Source organism: Homo sapiens, chromosome 5, assembly GCF_000001405.40.
Source record: "Homo sapiens chromosome 5, GRCh38.p14 Primary Assembly".
Taxonomy (NCBI): Eukaryota; Metazoa; Chordata; class Mammalia; order Primates; family Hominidae; genus Homo; species Homo sapiens.
This window is the reverse complement of record NC_000005.10, coordinates 169939794-169958681: the sequence shown is the minus strand read 5'-3', so window position 1 is coordinate 169958681 and position 18888 is coordinate 169939794. Positions and strand designations below refer to the sequence as shown.

General features: G+C 44.9%; 2 protein-coding genes across 6 annotated transcripts in view, besides 1 other annotated feature; one reads left to right on the top strand and one right to left on the bottom strand.

Annotated features, from left to right (window-relative positions):
* DOCK2 (dedicator of cytokinesis 2) overlaps positions 1-18888 on the bottom strand; it is a 446108-nt gene that overhangs the window by 124701 nt on the left and 302519 nt on the right. The gene's annotated exons all lie outside the window — the stretch shown is intronic.
* Positions 1-18888, top strand: part of INSYN2B (inhibitory synaptic factor family member 2B) — a 119193-nt gene that overhangs the window by 21814 nt on the left and 78491 nt on the right. The window lies entirely within an intron of this gene.
* Positions 12523-12817: a silencer, noted in NCBI's record as "tiled region #8772; HepG2 Repressive non-DNase unmatched - State 24:Quies, and K562 Repressive non-DNase unmatched - State 19:H4K20". NCBI's record gives its function as "represses a minimal TATA promoter and a strong SV40 promoter by Sharpr-MPRA in HepG2 and K562 cells {active_cell/tissue: HepG2 | K562}" and the evidence as "EXISTENCE:reporter gene assay evidence [ECO:0000049][PMID:27701403]".

Here is an 18888-nt window from a genome sequence, read left to right as displayed (position 1 = left end):
GAGAGCTCCACGCCTAACACTCAATCTTAAAATGTGACATTGTTCCTATACAATCAATATTTAAACCACATTTTGTAAATTTATACCAAAAAAAAAGAAACCCAGGAAAAGAAAGCACCCCTTTTGTCCTCTATTTTAATAGTAAGACGGAAAGGGGGCTGGGCTAATGGTAACAGCTGCCCTTTCTGTGTATGGAAAGCTGTAATTTAAATATGCACACCAGCTTTTCAAGCAGAACATTCTAAACCATCAGCCCTGTTATTCGGATGATGGAGTTTGCAGATTTTCTGTTTGCCCTCCTCTTGCTTTTCCCACCTTTGGGGCTTTTCACTGTCCCCAGAAACCCAAGCTTAGAATGGAGAAGGAAGGCAAAGACCATATCTAATAGATTCATAAGCTTCTTATTAATAACAGTGCAGTAAAGTATAAATGGGGTAGGTGCCTTTTTTTTTTGCAAAACAAAGTTTCCAGATTATCTGTGTTCCATTTAGCCAGGCCCTCATTTCTCACCACAGGGTAGATAATCAAGTTGACAAAGACTGTGTTTTGTCCTTCTATGTGCATGTGGACGTCATGTTTCACACTTGCACTCATGTTTGCTTGGTTCCACACAGGGAACGTATCCCCTGGGTGAATTTTAAATGTTCTTGCACTGCTTGCATTTTCAAAAGCACAGCATATGAGCATCTCAGTCAAGGTGAGCTGGTAGGACCTCTCCTGACGCCCTACTCCCTCGCAGTGGACTTCCCACTGGAAACCTCCACTTTTGCTGCTTAGCTCAGTGTGTCTCTGCAAATAGGCATGTTTAAGGAAATAATAAATGCCTAAGGCAATGCAGGTGGGGAGCAGGGGAGAGTCAGGGAGACAAAGAACAGTAGCAGTACATGGAGCTCTACCAGCTTTTGGGCTAACAGGGTCATGAACAGACCAGGAACCTGAGACAATCAAAGGACTTCACCCCACAAAGCCAGGGTACTCTGGGGAGCTGAAAAACTCAGAAGGGTTTCCAAATATTCCTGAGGCTTCCTCGCGCATTGCCTCTAGTGTCTCATTACCAGGAATGAGTCTTTCTGTGATTTCACCAGACTGTTTAGCAGTAGAAAGAGGCAGACCAAGGAGTCCCAGTCCCACCTGTGACCTGGAGCAGTCACCTGACACCTCTGAGCCTCAGTTTTCTCATCTGTTCAGTGGGAATGGTATACTTCTCCTTACAGGGCTGTGGAAAGGACAACATAGTTTTACACAGAAAAAGTAGTACTAAGCTAACATTGGTTGAGTGCCTATTACGTTCTAAACAATGTGCTAAGTACTTTGTCTATTTTGTCTCATTGAATTCTGATGACAATCCTACAAAGTAGGAACTCTTACTATCCCCATGCTATGGATGCAGAAACTGGGGCTCAGAGCAGTTAAGTCCCTGGCTAAAGGCCAGAAAGTCAACTAGAATTGATGTGTCCATTTTAATTAATTCATTCATTCATTTATTCACCATTATTTATTGAGTACCCATTCCATACCAGGCAATGAGAAGCAAATCACACATAGTCCCTGCCCTCATGGCACTGACAGTCTTATTACTGCAAAGTACAAAGTGCAGAGTAAATGGAAGTCAAATGGGATTCCAAATTCTACTCAACATCTAGTAAGCCCCAGAATAAACTCTCCAGAACAATGATACCATTGTATTGCTCCTGTGGTTTTGCCTGGTGTTCATGATTGAGACATACTCAAGGAAGACAGTGCTGGCTCTGCAGGCCCTCCAGGGACAGAAACCAGGCATGTTGGCCAATACAGAAACATCCTACACATTTTCCTTATATTTGATGCATTCCTGGACCCATAGGTCTGAAAGGAACCTTGAAAATGAATTTATTTTTCTGCCTCTGAGAAAGATTACATTTGAACTTTTTGTGAGAGAGATCCAGCTAGGGAAACTTCACTTTAAGAACCTGGTTTAACAAAGCTTGTATTTATAAACAGGTGAATTTAAGGGCATCCCCATGACTTTAAATAGTGAACACTCCAATGCATTTTAAGCAAGATTGAGTCAATGTATTTTCTTAGCAGATAGCTTTTCAGGAATGCAAAATATACCTGTGCCCAGCATCTTAAGGCTTCTAAAAGGTAGATGATACCTTTCTCTCTGTTCACTTACAAGCTCATGTCTTCAAAAGCATTTGTTTGGAAGTCCCTCCTTAAATCTAATCTGAATCCAACCTGTTGTGCTTAAAGTCGCTGCAGTAATCTTTCTAATACAACCCACGAGAGAGGGACTGGAGGGAAGAATTTAAGACCCCCATGAGATCAGGAGCAGCCTCTTAAGTTAGTAGTATCACTTGTGGCTAAATCTTGGCATCATTTCCCTAATTTTTTCTAGCCGCTCCCAGGCACTCCAACTATCTCTGAGAATGTTCTTCTTGCACACACTTAAAGAAGCATCTGAAATTTGTGCTATGCAGCTTAGCACTTGCTCAACCAGGATGAATCTTAGAGACCATCAAGTTTTGCCCTTGCAGGACAGAAGAGGAAACTGAGATTCAGAGAACTGCTGTGACTTAATCAAGGACACAGCAAATTTGTGGCAAAGCCAGGAAGATAACCCAGACTCCAGACCCCAAGCCTGGGCTCTTTTTTTTTTTTTTCAAATCTATGTCTCCCCCACATTTGACTCTTTGTTTCCCTGAGCTCCAGAGCCACACCCTGTTCCTTTTTAGGACTCTCATGACCCAGGCTTAGGCACATTAGTTGCCCAAAGCACACTTGGCTTGTTCTGACTTGAGCAGTACAATGAGCCATGTCTTAGTTTCAGGCAAGGCCACCTTGACCATGAGACATGAAAAGGAACTGAATCGATGGAGCCTCTGCTATGTAGCAGGGACTGTGTTGGTACTTTGCTAAAGCCCTGGGAGGCAGGATTTCTTAGTGCCCATTACACAGATGAAGAAACTCAGTTTCAGAGAGGTTAAAGAATGTCTCTGTAATTCCACAGCTATATAGTGGCTAGGCTGGAATTCAAAACCAGGTTTGCCTGCCTTCTTCTCCTGCATGATACTGCTTCATACACGGTCCTCAGAACCTTAAGGACCAGGTGGAAAGAACCAACAAGGTCATACTGAAATTTTGCATCAGTGCCCTAATGACCAAGAGAAAATACATTTCATCCAATTCAAAGGTATAAAGATGTAAGGTAGAAGCCGCAAACTGGCCTTGGAGGAGACTCAGAGTGACAGCACGTACTGTCCAGGGGCGCATCCTCCTCCTTTCTTCCCTCCCAGTCTCTCTCTCTCTCTCCCTTCCTTTAACACTTATTGAATATGCCAGCTACACAGTAGGTGCTCAGTAAGTGTTTGGGCCCAGAACCTTCCTATGGGAAAGGCACTTCACTTTCTGAACATGGCCTGGCACTGTCCAGATGCCCTTCTGTCCTGTGTGGTCCCGGGCAGGGGCATCTCCCCTTCTCCTGCAGGACCACTCTGAACCCTAACTTGATGGCAGCTGCCTGGCGATCTCGTCATCCTCCTGACATGGCCATGTAGCTCCTCAGCTTCCATCATTCCTGAATCTCTGCAAGGTTATGGGGTTGCCTTGCTTCAGAGGGCACAAAAGTGCTTAGCTCTGCTCAGGTTTGCTCTTGGCTGGTGGAGACCTGTGACTGCTCTTCCAATCCCTTGAGCCTTCCTCATGGAGGTTTGCCAAGTCACAGGAGGCACAGTCTGCGATTGATTCCTAATGCCCCTGCTAGGTTTTAACAGCTGGTGAAAACGTCTGCTCATATTTCACCCACGCTCCCCTGGCTGTGGGTTCAAGTCACTGTTGATTTGGTCATTGGGTTACACACACTTGCAGCCTGGGTGGACCTGTATGAGCCTTCCCAGCATCAGCTGCGTTGACCTCTCATGAGGTCACTCCCCTGGGTTTTGAGAGCCACTCCTTGAAAATCATCTTGGAACATGTAAAAACAAATAAACAAACAACAACAACAACAAGTTTGAAAGGGCCCAGGATTCTGCATTTGGAGAACCAAACTGCACTATATTCTGGGCAAGTCACTCCCCTCCTTGGACCTGAGTTATCCCTTTCATAAAATAGAAGAACAGGGATGGATAAGCTTATGGGTCCCTTCTGCACCCAGGCTCTGCCTGATTCTGCTGAACCACAGCTTCAGGGGGGTGGCCAAGAGGTCTTTCTGGTCCCTGCCTGACTGCCTTCATCTATTGCCTTACCTGAGGTCTGAAAACACATTTTTTGGGGCTTCAAAATACAAAAAGATAAAACTGAAAAATCAAAATAGATAAAAGCTTAATTAAATGTCTACATAATGGAATGTTATATAAACATCATTAATTGTTAAGTTTGATGTTCATAAAAATTTTATTACACTTAAAAACAATTTATTCCTTAGAATCACTCACTTCGAAAGGATTTTCAAAAATGTCCAGCGATTGCTAAGGCTTCATAGCCATGAGTTAGTCACAGCCAAACACTTCTAAAAGCAAAATCATTAAAACCTCTTTTAAACATACTACAGCAAATAATAACAATAATAATTAATGTGAAATGTGGGTGACTTTCAGTATGTTTGATAAAATGTGGGGTGAAATCTCCAAAAGGAAGAGTGTTCAGGGTCTTTGAAAGTCTTAGGATTGCTCTAGAACCAGAGTATAGAATATGCACTCATATTTATAAATCACTTACTCTGTGCCAGCCTCTTGTGAAGCCTTTGCCATGCATTAACTCACTTAATTGGTGAGACAATTCTTGAGGTAGTTACAATTACCATTCCTATTCTACTGATGAGGAAACTAACTCGGAACAAGTAAGTGGCACAGCTAGAATGGAAAACCAATGGTGCCAGGGCTCATGCTCTTAGCCACCTTACCATATACAATGCTTGCCATCCCAGGTGTCTCCCGAGGAGAAAACAAGTGCTGGCAGGTTGAGAAGGGAGGGAGGTGCATGTCCCTAATGAGGAGTTCACTTTATGCTGCATTAAATGGAACCCATTCCTTGCTGGCTCTACCACTACTTGCTACCTCCTCTGTGAACTCTTCTGCCCACAGAGGTCTCCTCTGTAGCTGACTCTCAGCCTCGTCTAATGCTATTAATAATGCAAATAATAATAATGCAAAGCTGATGTTATTGACAGCTCCATCAGCATTTTATACAGGACTTAATCTCATTCAATCCCCAAGACCTCCATTTCATAAACAAGGGAATTGCGGGTTTAGAGATCTGAAACAATTTGCCCACAGTCACATAACTCTCAGAAATAGAGGAAGCTAGGACTGACTCACACTCCAGTCTTATTCTAAAGCCCAAACTCTCTCTCTCTCTTTTTTTTTTTTTTTTGAGATAGAGTCTTGCTCTGTCACCCAGGCTGGAGTATAATGGTGTAATCTCGGCTTACTGCAACCTCCGCCTCCTGGGTTCAAGTGATTCTCCTGCCTCAGCCTCCTGAGTAGCTGGGATTACAGGCACCCACCACCACACCCAGCCACACCCAGCTAATTTTTTGTATTTTTAGTAGAGACAGGGTTTCGCCATGTTGGCCAGGCTGGTCTTGAACTCCTGACCTTGTGATCCGCCCACCTCAGCCTCCCAAAGTGCTGGGATTACAGGTATGAGCCACCGTGCCTGGCCCCAAATTCTCTTTTAATTAGAAAGATATACATATTGTTTAAACAATTCAATAAATAAGTATATTGAATAACAAAGTGAAGCCTTCCCTTTACCACAATCAACCTACTGTTTTCTCCCTATCTGAGGCTCTCTTCCTATGTTCCACTGTCCCAGACTTCTGCAAAGTATTTATGTATCTATCTAGGTATCTGTCCATCTTTCCATTCATTTCTCACTTATGTATTCTGGTGGCTTCACTCTCCATGTGGCAACTCTGTACCCTGGATTGAAACGGCATCAAACGAAGCTTGGAACAATGACAACCCCTACCTGAGATGTCTCCATTCCAGGGGCAAGGCTGGCTGGAGCATGATATCCACGGGATTAGGAAAAGCAGGTGGGGTGCTGTGCATCCCTTCTATTCCAGAGCTCTTAGCAGGGATTCTGTGGCTAACATGTCAGTTGTATTGACTCCTGTACAGTCTCATGTGCTGAAGTGCCACACTACCTTCTCAGCCTGGGAGGTTTCTGGGCTCAGCTGGCTCAGATCCCATGTGTGGGGAGCATTAAGAAAAACAGGTCACCTGCATAAGACCAGCGGCAAAAATCTGACTCAGTGCTACTTCTCTGTTTGTCCTTTACTTAAAGGGGAGCCATAATTAAAATGATCCAGGAAAGAGAACCAAGCAGGAGATTGAGTTACTTGGAGAAAGGACCATGCTGCATTGATTTTTACATACCCAATGCCAGCAGTGCATCAGGTACACAACAAGTTCTCAATAAATTGTTATACGGACGAGTTGATAGAATAAAAAACAGGTCTCTTCCCAGTGCTGCATGCAAAAAAGCTCGGTTAGAGTGAATTCTTATTTGCAAAGATGAGAGATTTTTAGTCTTCTGATGGCTTTTTCCTCCTTTCTGTTTTCTTAGTCACAGTTCAGGGGCAAAGAAAAGCTTCTATCTCTCTGAAATGGTAGGAGAAACCCTTGGGGCTTAGGTAACAAATCACAAGGATCTCTCTTTCACATGTTGTGAGAATAGAAATATTTAACCATCAGCACCAACAATGTCATTTGTATAAAAGGGAGTGACTTCCTGGCTGAGAGATGGTCAGAATAACATAGAGCCTAGGAGTCAAGGTAGTGAAGTTTGTGAGCCTGGGGCTCTGGTTCTGGTGTCTGCTTCTTGGCTGTGTGATCTTGGGCAAGTTTCCTAAATTTTCAGCTTCTCAGTTTTGTCATCCATAAAATGATGATAATAATAGTACCTGCCTTAAATAGTGTGTGGAAGAGGCTTAAACAAGCTAATATAAGTCAAAACTTGAGCACAATCCTTGGTGTAGCTATACATATGTTTGTGTATATAACAGAAGCTCAAAATTATACCATTATTATTAATAACATACTCTGGACCCTCATCATAATGCTATTCTCAATATCCAAACATTTGATTTCTATTGATAACTATCTGTTGAATGAATGGGTGCACTGGTCTGATCAGGGTGTGATCCAAGGCAGGTGTCCATGTCTTCCAACTCTGAACCTCCAGAATGGAGCAGGCAGCACACAGCAGGCTCTGAGTGAATTAGCCAAGAATTTCTAAGCCAGAAGACTATGTGGGGAAGGGGCAGATATCTTCTGCAATGGTATCCAGAAGATCTGGATTCAAGCCCTGACTCCACCATGTGTTGTGTTATTTGGAAGCATTAAGAATCCTCTGTCTGGGGCCACATATGCAGCATCAGAAGGAATGTCCGTGAAACAAACAAGAGGACCAAAGAAGATAAGCTGGGAGAATCCCTGAGACTGTCCACACTAGGGAAGGTAAAGCCCAAAGTCTTCCCACATTTGATAAAGGAATGAGTATAAGAACCATTCCCCTTTTCTCTTGCCCTGACTCTATCCCTGCAAGAGTGAGAATGACAGAGCAGCCAGGGAGGGAAAGGGTTGGTGGGGACCGTGTCCCAGATAAGGCAGGCAGGTCTCATCAGCTCCAGCCAATCACTGTGGTGTGGGAATGCAGGACCGGTGACGCTGGCTAATCTGACTTCGGAGCAGCTGGAAATCTAAATGTTTACATTCAACCGCCCAATTTTATATAGTCTCATCAAATTCAAATTAATTTTATAATTTTGAGTGAGCCAACATCATGAAGACCAGTCAAAACATCACAGGCCACATCTGCCCCGTGGGCTGCCAGTGTTTGGCTCAGCCTCAGTAAGAACCTGCAGCCCAGACTGTGAGAGGAGGCTGCTGAAGCTGGTGGTTCATCACATAGAGCTGGGGACAGAATCTGGTCCTGATACACCCGAATCTTAAGAGATCAAATGATGCTGTGAAAGAATGTGGCTGTTACCAGGAATAACGACAAAATTCCCAGAGGAACACAACATTGGACAAAATACTTCATAGGGGAAAAGAGTACACCTGAGGCCTCCTGTCACATAGAAAATCTGTAGCATGATCCAGGTGCAAGAACTAAAACCAAAAGAGAAACTGACACAACCCCCAGAGAATGACTTCTTTGCTACAAGAGAGGGGCCATGTTGTGTGGCCCAAAACTCAAGCCTCTCAACCCTGGTTCACACAGTGATCTCCACTTCTGTTTACCTAGGTTTGTCTTGAGAAAGCTTCTGTTGTTTGAAAGTCCAAAAAGACTGTTATGCTGAGATAATACTACTGTTTTTTGAGTGCTTAGTAAATGCTAGACACTAAGCGCTTTGCATATATCAATGCTCTTAATCCTAAAACAACCCTATGAGGAAGGTCTGCTTGTTCTCTTATGAGGAAAGTGAGGCTCAGAAAGGTTAATAACTTTCTCTAGGGGCATGGAGCTAGAGCTGGGGTTTGAATCTGACAGGCTGGCTCCAGTGACCAAGCTTCCAACCACCTTCCACGATGGCTCCTGTCTCATCTCATGATAGTAGAACAGAAAGAGGGAGAGAAAGGCCACCACCATCTACTGAGAATGGTGCCAGATGGGCTTGAACATGCTTCAGAAGAGATGGCACTGGATCCCTCAGTGGGAAGCATCTGTGATCCCCTCAAACGCAGAACCCTCCTTCATTGCGAGGTTGTGTTTTTCTGGTAAATGTGAATCCTGCCAGAGGATAATCTAAGCCAGTATTAACTATAAAAGAAAATCGAGAAAGAAGAGTTACTAACTGATATGAGCACGTATGTATGGTGAAGAGTCTATTTGCATTTGCCACTTCAAAAATGAAACCTCTGGCTCTTCTATCAAAAATTCTTAAATGACAGGGTGACAACCTTCTCAGTTGGCTCCTTTAATTAAATGAATCTGAAATGCTACACCTCTGTGTACACTCAGAAACTCTCCTACTCTGTTCCCTTTTGATCTCTGTAATTTATTTTAAAGATCACATTGAACATGCTATTTACTCTGTGAGCCACAGCCCAAAGAAATCAAATTCTAACCTGATCATGGCATTCCATTTCACATCACCCCCACCATTAAAAAGCTGCTGTGCTCCCCCGCCTCTGGGTACCAACGCCTCCAAATTCAGTCTCCATTCAGTATGGAGTTCCAGGCTCCAGCTACTTTTACAAGTTATTTCTCACTTTTCATTGATTCCTTCTTCCCTTCAGCCAAACTGGGCTAATGGGCTATCTCCTTCAAGAAAAATCTCAAAAGCCATCCCTTCAGGCAGCCCCAGGAACATGGAATGGGATCTCTCCTCTCATGGGCCTCCATGAGGCTTCCCAGGTGCCTCTATTTACAGTTCTGTCCACATTATTATGATCTCCCTCCTGGGAAGTAAAGAACAGGAGGGCAAGGATTGTATCTTCAATGGATCCCTACCACATTCTGCACATAGTAGTCGTGCAGCAAATGCTTGTGGAGTTGAATTGATAATCAGGAAACTGATTCATAAATGGAACAGTCTTCGACTTTTGCATGAATATTCAAAAAGATGCCAAGGAAATTCGAATACAGGGCTATACACTTTTATCCACATGCTCTGCTTTTCCTTTAATAATCATCCTTCATATCAGGGAACGTGGTGATTCTAAGGTTGGGAGGACATGCAGAGGCTTCTATTGCACCTTTGTAACTGGATGCATATAAAAAAGTATAGGATATTCTTGTAATTTGATAATTTCACAAATGCTTGTTATGCTTGCCCTTATGCCAAACAGTATGTTCACTACTGAGGAGGCAGGGACGAATGACCAGGTGCCAGTCACTGGGGAGCTGAAGAAAAAAAAAAGAGACAAACCATCCTGAGGAACTGGCCCTGAGTGGGTGTCAGAAAGTAGTTGTGAGCCAGGTGTAGTGGCACACATCTATAATCCCAGCTGGTTGGGAGGCTGAGGTGGGAGAATCGCTTAGTCCATAAGTTCCAGACTGCAGTGAGCCATAATCACACCACTGCACTCCAGCCTGGGGAACAGAGCAAGACCCTGTCTCTAAAAAAAAAAAAAAAAATTAATTGTGGAAGGAAGGAATAAGAAAGGAGAGAAGGGAAGGAGGGAGGGATAAAGAGAGATCTATGAAAATCTATAAATGTATATGTGTTTCTATGTGTGTGTAGGTAGATGATAGTCAGATATACAGATAGAGAGAGAGAGAGATGTAGGGGATGGATGAATGAATGAGTGGACAGAGAAAGGGAGGGATGGATGAATGGGTATGAAAAAACAGAGAAAGGTGCAAATAATCATTCTCCCCCTACCCATCTCTTTCTGTCATTACTGTGTTTTATCTTTTTCATAACACTTATGTGTATTTGTTTACCTTTTTTTAAAAAACGTTCTGAATCCCTCTACTAAAATATAAGCTCTGTGAGAGCAGGGCCTTCATCTGCACTGTTCCCCACAGTATCTTCAGAGCCTAGGTCACAGCAGACAAATAACTATTTGTCAAGTGAATGAATGAAGAGAAGAGGTTGGATGAAATTTTCACACCTAGAATTTAAGCTTAGAAGTGAAGAGGGTGTGTACCGAATGGTGGCCTGGCTCTTCTCTCGGTGCCTTACAAGATGAGCTCTCTGGGTCTCCTGAAGGTAGGATCAGCCCCAGAGGAAAGGCCTGAGAGGAATAAGAATGACAAATCCTGACCCTGCTTCTGGCAATTGCAAGGACCCCTGGGTGAAGCTTTGCAGAACGCAGCGGCACTGCACGGTGTGACATTTACTTTTTATTTATGGAATGCCTGTATGCTCATGCTCACCCAGCAGGCACCATGTATGCTGTAGGTATTTATGCTGTATGTATTTATGTATGCTCATGCTCACCCAGCAGGCACCATGACAGTGAAGGATCTGGTCCTGCTCCTCCCCTCTAGGTAACAGGTAATTTGAAGAACAATACATGCATGCTGACAGCCCGCCATTCCCTTCACCCTAAAGCAGGTTTGCACTTACTGTTAAGATTTTTACATTTTTGGGGATATTCATTTTCATTTTTGGAGGGAGAGGAATAAGAAATAATGAGACAAAAAAGCATCAGCTTAATGTGGAGGGTCAGAAAGGCCCAGATGCCAGGGCAGATGCCCTGAACCCTCACTCGGTCAATCTGATATTAGTTGCGTGGCCCTGGGCAGGAAGCTTCACCTCTCTGAGCCTGTGCTTTCACCATCTGTAAAACAGGGCTAATGAAGTCTACCTTGGAGGGTTGGGATCAGAATAATGGATGAGAAAGCATGCAGCCCAGTGCCTGGCACTCAGCCTAGGCACCATCAACAAATGCCAGGTCCCTCCTCATTCCCCTTGGAAAATGTTCTGTCCTATTCCAAGACCCATCTCCTCTTCACAATCTTGGAACATTTTGTTAATACATTCAAGTGAGTTTGCAGTGACTGTATAATGTACAGGTTAAGAGTACAGCTTCCCCTATCAGACTGCTTGAGTTCATATCACAGCTCTATCACTGATTAAGTGTGTGACCTTGGAAGTTTGCACAATCTCTTTGAACTTAAGTTTCCAAAATGGTAACAGGGAGTCATAGTGTTGTGTAAAGATAAACGTATGTTGCAGGTTAGGCATTGAGAACAGTTCCAGATACATTGTAAACTCACTCCAGCATGGGTATACTCAGCGCTCCTCTCCAAACCCCCTGGCCTTCATTCCATTCCTCCCATATGGCAAAACTCCATCCTGACTCAGGGCCTTGCCCACGCTCTTCCCTCTGCCTGGAACACTGTCTCCCCAGATCTTTGCATAGCTGGCTCCATCTCGATATTCAGGTCCAGCCTAAAGGCCCTTTCCATGTCACTGCCCACCCAGTTTCAAGTAGTCTCCCTCAGCCCCACGTCACTCTCAATGACAGGATCCTACTGTGTGACTTTCAGATTGCCTATCGCTGTGTGAAATTATTTTTCTATTAGGTTTGTTTATTGTCTGTCCCCACCCCATTAGAACGTAGCTCCAGGAGACTAGGAACTGGCCTATCTTATTCCTTGAAACAGTGGCTGATACACAATGAGTCCTCAGTAGACTGGTGGAATGAAAAAGTGAATGAATGAATGAATGAATGAATGGATGAGTGACTATGCCAGATCCCCCAGTTCTTTGCAGTGTTTTGCTGGAATTCTGCCCACCTAATGCCCAACACAGGAGCTGGGGTAAAGATCAATTTCCAAAACACTCCTGCCCTTTCCTCCCAATATGAAAACCAGCTAAGAACACACATGAAGAAACATAAAGGTAGCTCCTGGAAGAGCCTTCTTGGACTTCCTGTGACTCGTCCCCCTCAGTCGCCCAGTTAGAGAGCAAACACACCACTTCCCTCAGATGCCTGCCTCCGGATACCCCTGGCTGGGCTGGATGTGGGGGGCTGGAACACTGCTTTCTTCACTGTGGCAGTCCAGAATAATCCTACAGGGCTGGAGGCTTGGCCTTCTCTTCAAGTGACTGGGAGCTTGAGGCCCCTCCTCTGTCAAGGGCAGGGAGACTGTTAGATCACTCCTTCCTCATATTTGCTGTGCTGAGATGGCCTGCCAGAGTGAACTGGGGCTTCCTGGGTAAACACAGCTTTGGCTCTGAGGAGCTTTGCTCAGCTGATGGTCTGTGAATGGATGCAAGGAAGCAGGGAGGAGGGGATGGCACCGGGGTGTTGCACCAGGGCTGGAGCCTGCCTGGCCTGCTCATGTGGCTTCCTGGAGCCAGCAGTGTGGGGGATGCTCGCTTTTCTGGAAAAGAGCCACATCAATATTCTGGGAGACTCTTATGCAAATAAGGACGAGTCAAGAAAAATCAGGCTGCACAAAGGACGGAGGCCGTGGGCGAATCCAAACAATAAGCAAAAGCCAGAGGTGCTGGCTGCTGAAGAAAAGCCTTGGGGGCCGAGAGAACCAGAGGCAAGTGTTCTGCAGGCTGAAAGAATGATTTTTAAGCGGGAGGAGCACATCCAGCCTCCGTTCTACTCCTTCCTAGTACCCGTGTGAAGAGGCCACTGCAGATGCAGCTCAGCCAGTTAGTAGCTGTGAGCTCTGGGCAACAGACTTCACTTCTCTGAGCCCTGATTTTCTCACCTTCGAAATGAGCACAATACTATCTCCCTAATTAAAAAAGAACGCCTGGGAAGATTGCATGAGACAACACATACAAAGTGTTTGGCACTGTGCCAGGCACGAAGTAACAGCTCAATTAATAACACTTGTTAGCATTTCTGTTGAGTTTATTCTCACTGATTTTTCACTCTGAGACCCAAAGAGTTCAAATTTGTTCCAGTCTCTCCCCTTGAGCTCTCTGCCCAAAATTATATATGTCTTCTAACTAGAGGAGAGAAGAGAACTACCACTCGGTATATGCCTGCTAAGGCGTTAGTATGGTATTATTGACCCGTTGTATGAATGATAACACAGTCCTGGAGAGGTTGCATGACTTTCCCAAGCTCATACAGCTGCAGCACAACCAGCCTGTCTGCTTTTAACCCACACCTTTTTAACCATGTCAGAGGATTCTTCTGGGGCCAAGAGAAAGAAAATGAAACCACAGTCGGTTCCCTAATCTGAGAATTGAGGGTCCCTGTGAATGCTCTTTTGTCCTGGTCATGCTAAGAAGACACCTCTGAAGTTGTAGTCAGGATTTAAATCCTCCTAGAGGTATTTGCCAGCCATTCTCAGGTTGGATAGACCCCAGAGAGGATTTCTGAAGGGAGAAAGAAGTTAGAACATGTAGCAGACAAGAGACAGGGCAAGGAAACAAGATGTCTGGAAAATGAAGCATTCTGAGCAACTGGAGCCCACAAGGCAGATGGAGGAGGAAGGCTGTTCCCATGGTCAGAAACCGTTCAGCTTTCCGATCATCACAGACAACAGCACAAGGTGCTTCTAGAGCTCTCCAGAAAGGGCAAGCAAGGTTCCTAGCACTGGTGAGAGCCACCACATGTTCAGCTGTTTACAGCATCCCAGATGCTTTTCATTAACCTGTTTGCTCCCAATCATTGTGAAGTGGGGATTGTCCCCATTTCTCAGATGAGGAAACCAAGGCACAGAGGTATTAAAATGCTCTCCCAAGGTCACTCCATAAGGGATGGCTGGGATTCCACTGAGGACGGGGGAGTTTCAAAGCCTCCCTGGTATTCACTGCACAGGCCTGGCTGCTCTCCCTCCCTCCCTTTCCAAATCTCCTGCCTCCTTCAGCATCTCTCCAGAGTCACGGCTGGCTCCTTGCAACTGGGGCTGGAGAAGGCCACGGCTGCCACGTTCTATTTTTGATAATCCTTCCTGTTTGGTAGAACATGCCTCTGCCTGCCTTGAAGGACCTGCCAGCTTTGTTCTGAGGTGCCGGCCACACTGCCGTCATCACCTTTCAGACACCTCTGTGCATGGGCAGGTCACAGGAAATAGAATATCAGGGAGTTGGGGCTCACCAGCTCTCAGTTACATAAATCCAGGGCACTCAAAGGCAGGGCCTTTGGTGTGGCAGCTCACGCCCCTGAGCCTCAATTTCTCCATCCATAAAATCAGTCCTCAAAGGGAGCCATGGTTAGTGTTAAATGACATAATCCAGGTAAAGTGCTTACCCCGGTCCTGGCACATGGTCAGCACTTTATAAATACTAATTCTTAGTCCACAGACCTGGAGAATTATAGAGTCACACCATGCTATTAGCCCACTCTTACCACTTTACAGAGACAATAAGAAAGCAAAGTGGCTTTTCTAAATTTTCCCACTGAATTAAGTGGCAAAGATGACATTAGAAGCAGTTCCCTTCATTTTCCAGTGCTCATCCCTTACCATGGGGTAAGGATTCTCAAACTTAATGAGCGTCAGAGTCACCTTGGGGGCTGGCTAAAACACAGGTCCCTGGACCCTACCGTCAACTGTTCTGAATCAGTAGGCCTGGGAAGGGCCTGAGAATGTGCATTTCTAACAAGCTCCCAGGTGATGCTGATTCCACTGATCCCAGGACCACACCTTGAGAACCACTGCCCCCAGATCTGCAAACTCTAATGCCTGATGAGGCCAGGCAGATAAATTAATATAATAGACAAGCCAGGAGGTGAGGGTAACCAAATAGCATGTGTAATCTTGTGAAAACGGCAACTCTCCATCAACGTGGGATGGACTTGTATGGGAATGTGGGACCTTCTGTTTTCTCAAGAGAGGCCCTAAAATCTTTTTATGTGAAAACTCCTAGAGTTTAAATGTTAGAAAGGATTCACATTTTTTAAAAGTCTGGGCCATATTCCTGTGTAGAATATGGCCCGCGGGCCACAGGTCCAGGACCTAAGTATTGCCTGTCCACAGGGCCTGGATCTCAGGGTGGGATCAACCTTTAGACAGCTACTGCTTATTCCTCAAGATAAATCCAACCCAGAATCCTGGGTTTTCTTCAAAGGAAATGTACCAATGAATATTTTAAAACCTATTCATCCAATTCAAATTCCTGAAGCATGCTCCAAAGCTGAAACTCAACTTCACACGGGTACTTTAGGAAGCAGAGACATTGATGGCCTGGGTGTGGGGAAAACTCAATGATATTTCCATTGAATGGAATAGAGAAGCTGCAGAGCGTTCCAAAGACCTGCAGGTTCCTCCAGCCCAGCCCAACACATTCCTATACTTATTCCTCTTTTTTAGCTATTGATATCAACAACCATGTTTGTCCCACGCATACGATTTGCCAGGTGTTTTACATAGAGTCTCTCATTTAATCCTAATGACATTGTGAAGGGATTATTGTCATTCTTTATTTCAGCTGAGTAAGAAAATCTGAGTTCAGAGGCGAGCACACACAGTGGTCAAGGCTGAAAGGAAGAGTTCAGACCAAGCCTTGGAAGCAACAAAGACTGAGGTTCCTGACAGTTAACCTTTGAGCAGGCTAGTTGGTGATCTCTGTTTCCTGAACCCTCGTGGTCTCTCCGACCAATGTGGAGGGCAGGAGCTGTGTCCTCTATTTCTCTGTACTGCTTGCAGGGCCAAGGCCAACTCCAGACCGCCCTGCATCCTCAACTCATAAGAGCTGCTTCCAGCAGAGCCAGCACCATCTTGGTGAAAAATTCCTCCTCCTCACAATGGAGGGAACTTGGGAGGGAAAATTACAATTTTCTGTAAAATATGGAAATAGATCCTTGCAAATGAGTTCAAATTTATGATAATTTCCCAATACCTCAAGACAACCCACTTGAACATCTGTGTGGCTCATGGACGAGTGCATGAACTGTTGCTAATCAGAAATGAATTGTGTCAGCTCCACAAACTTGTGTTTCTGGGCATCTTTACATATTTCTCCTCCTACCCAGTCTCCCTCTAAGTTAATTAGACCATGGGAGAGGCATGGATCCACTTCATGATTCAGAGAAGTCAGAAGTCATTGCAGAGAGAGAATAGACCAAGGAAGATAATATTTTTATTGCCTTGACAGTTGATTTTTAAACTCCCTTCTCCATCACCCATACACACACTGCCATAAATAAGATATGCTACAGACTTTCTCAGGTGTCAACATCTTAATGAGAGAATCTGCTTCCTGATACCTTGGAAAAGGTCAATAAAGAAAAAAGAAATTAGAGACAGGCCCACATCCTTCTCATGTCGAACTGTTTTCGTTCAGGCTAACGACAGCAGTGGAATTGTTATTTTGCAACTACAGAACAGATGTGAAACTGAAATGATATAATACAGTTTTACTTCTGAATGGTGTGTGTTTTTTAAATTGGGAGAAAGGATGGGACTTGACATTTATAGGTGACAGAGTTCCTGATGCAGCGTGACCCTGCTGTTAACGCAAACCAAAATTGGCAGCCCCAGGGAAGTGGGGTTCTATTCTGGAGGGGAATGCCCCTGTCCCATCCCTGCAATGCAAGAAAGCGTGTGGTATTCGATGTCTGCTGGTTCCCTAGGGCCACTCTTGCTCCATCCAGTTTGTTTTCCACATAACAGTCAGCGTGATCTTTTCCAGTTCCAATAAAATCATGCCATACCCTGCTGGAGGAGCCGTCACGGTCCCCACAGCTCTTAGTTTAATCAAGTCCAGATTCCTTAAGATGGCCAAAGTTCTGCCAGATTTGGTTCTTCTTTCCATCACTGTGCAGCCCACCTCTTGCACTCTCCTTTCTAGCCCACAGGCCTTCCAACAGACACTTGCCCTGGTTCCATGGGGCCTTTGCACCTGCAGTAACCTGTGCCTACACCACTCCCACTCCACCTGCCCTCTGCCTTCAGACAGAAGCCTCTCTAACCAGCCTGACCAACTCAGTCTCTACTAAAAATACAAAATTAGCTGGGCCTGGGGGCACAGGCCTGTAATCCCAGCTACTTGGGCGGCTGAGACAGGAGAATTGCTTGAACCCAGGAGGCAGAGGTTGTAGTGAGCCGAGATTATCCATTGCATTCCAGCCTGGGCAACAAGAGCAAAACTCCACATCAAAAAATAATAATAACAATAAATAAATAAATTTAAAAAGCACCTTTCTGGAGCTCACAGACAAGGGATCCTTGTTATCTGCTCTCCCGACACCCTGTGCTTTCCCTTCGGGGCGCGGCTTCAGTTTGTGAGATTAAAGACTCAGCGTGGGTGACTGGATTAATATCTGCCTACCCCACTGAAGCACACTTCATGAGGGCAGGCTTTCTGTCTGTTTTTCTCACCTCTGTTTATCTAAGAATTAGTATGGAACAGGGTCTCTCAGCCATGGCACTATCGGCATTCTATTAGACAATTCTTGCTCACTGTATGATTAGCAGCAGCATTCCTGGCCTTACCCACTAGATCTGGGGTCCCCAACACCTGGACCATGAACTGGTACCAGTCTGTGGCCAGGTAGGAACCGAGCTGCACAGCAGGAAGTGAGTGGCAGGTGAGTGGGTGAAGCTTTATCTGTATTTACAGCTGCTCCCCATCACTCACATTACTGCCTGAGCTCCCCCTCCTGTCAGATCAGTGGTGGGATTAGATTCTCACAGAAGCACAAACCCTATTGTGAACTGTGCATGTGAGGGATCTAAGTTGCGTGCTCCTTATGAGAATCTAATGCCTAATGATCTGTCACTGTTTCCCATCACCCTCAGAGGGGACTGTCTAGTTGCAGAAAAACAAGCTCAGGGTTCCCATTGATTCTACATTAAGGTGAGTTGTATAATTATTTCATTATAAATTAAAATATAATACTAATAGAAATAAAGTGCACAATAAATGTAATGTGCTTGAATCCTCCTCCCGGTCTGTGGAAAAATTGTCTTCCACGAAACTGGTCCCTGGTGCCAAAAAGGTTGGAGACCATTGCATTAGATGCCAATAGCAATACTCAAGGTGTGAAAAACAAAAATGCCTCCAGACACTGCTAAATGTCTGCTGAGAGACAAAATTGCCCCTGGTTGAGAGTGATCAGAGTCTGGCACACAGCTGGCACTCCATAAAGACCACCAACTTCTCAGCACAGTTCTACCTTCATTGTTAAAGCAGCAGGTCCCTTCTAAAGATCTGTAGAATACACACACAGAAAACTGTGGAAGAAGGCGCTACTTCAATAGACGGAGGGGACCATGGGACCCTAATCACCCCTCTCCCCACCCACAGCCGTCACCAGGGCTCTAGATGACACAGTGAGAAAACTCCCTGGGGAATGGGAGGTGTTGGGGTTTGGAGGTAAGATCTGAAAGATGACTCTGCCTCTTCATAGCCAACTATCCTTAAGCAAGACACTTAAACACTCAGAATCTCTGTTTTTCCACATATAAAATGGGAAATGATCAACTCTTGTGGTAAGAAATTAATGAGCTGAAGAGGGCAAAGTACCTTATTCAGTGCCTGACACAGAGAAGGAGCTAACTCTAGGTTGACTTTTTTTACCTTTCTTA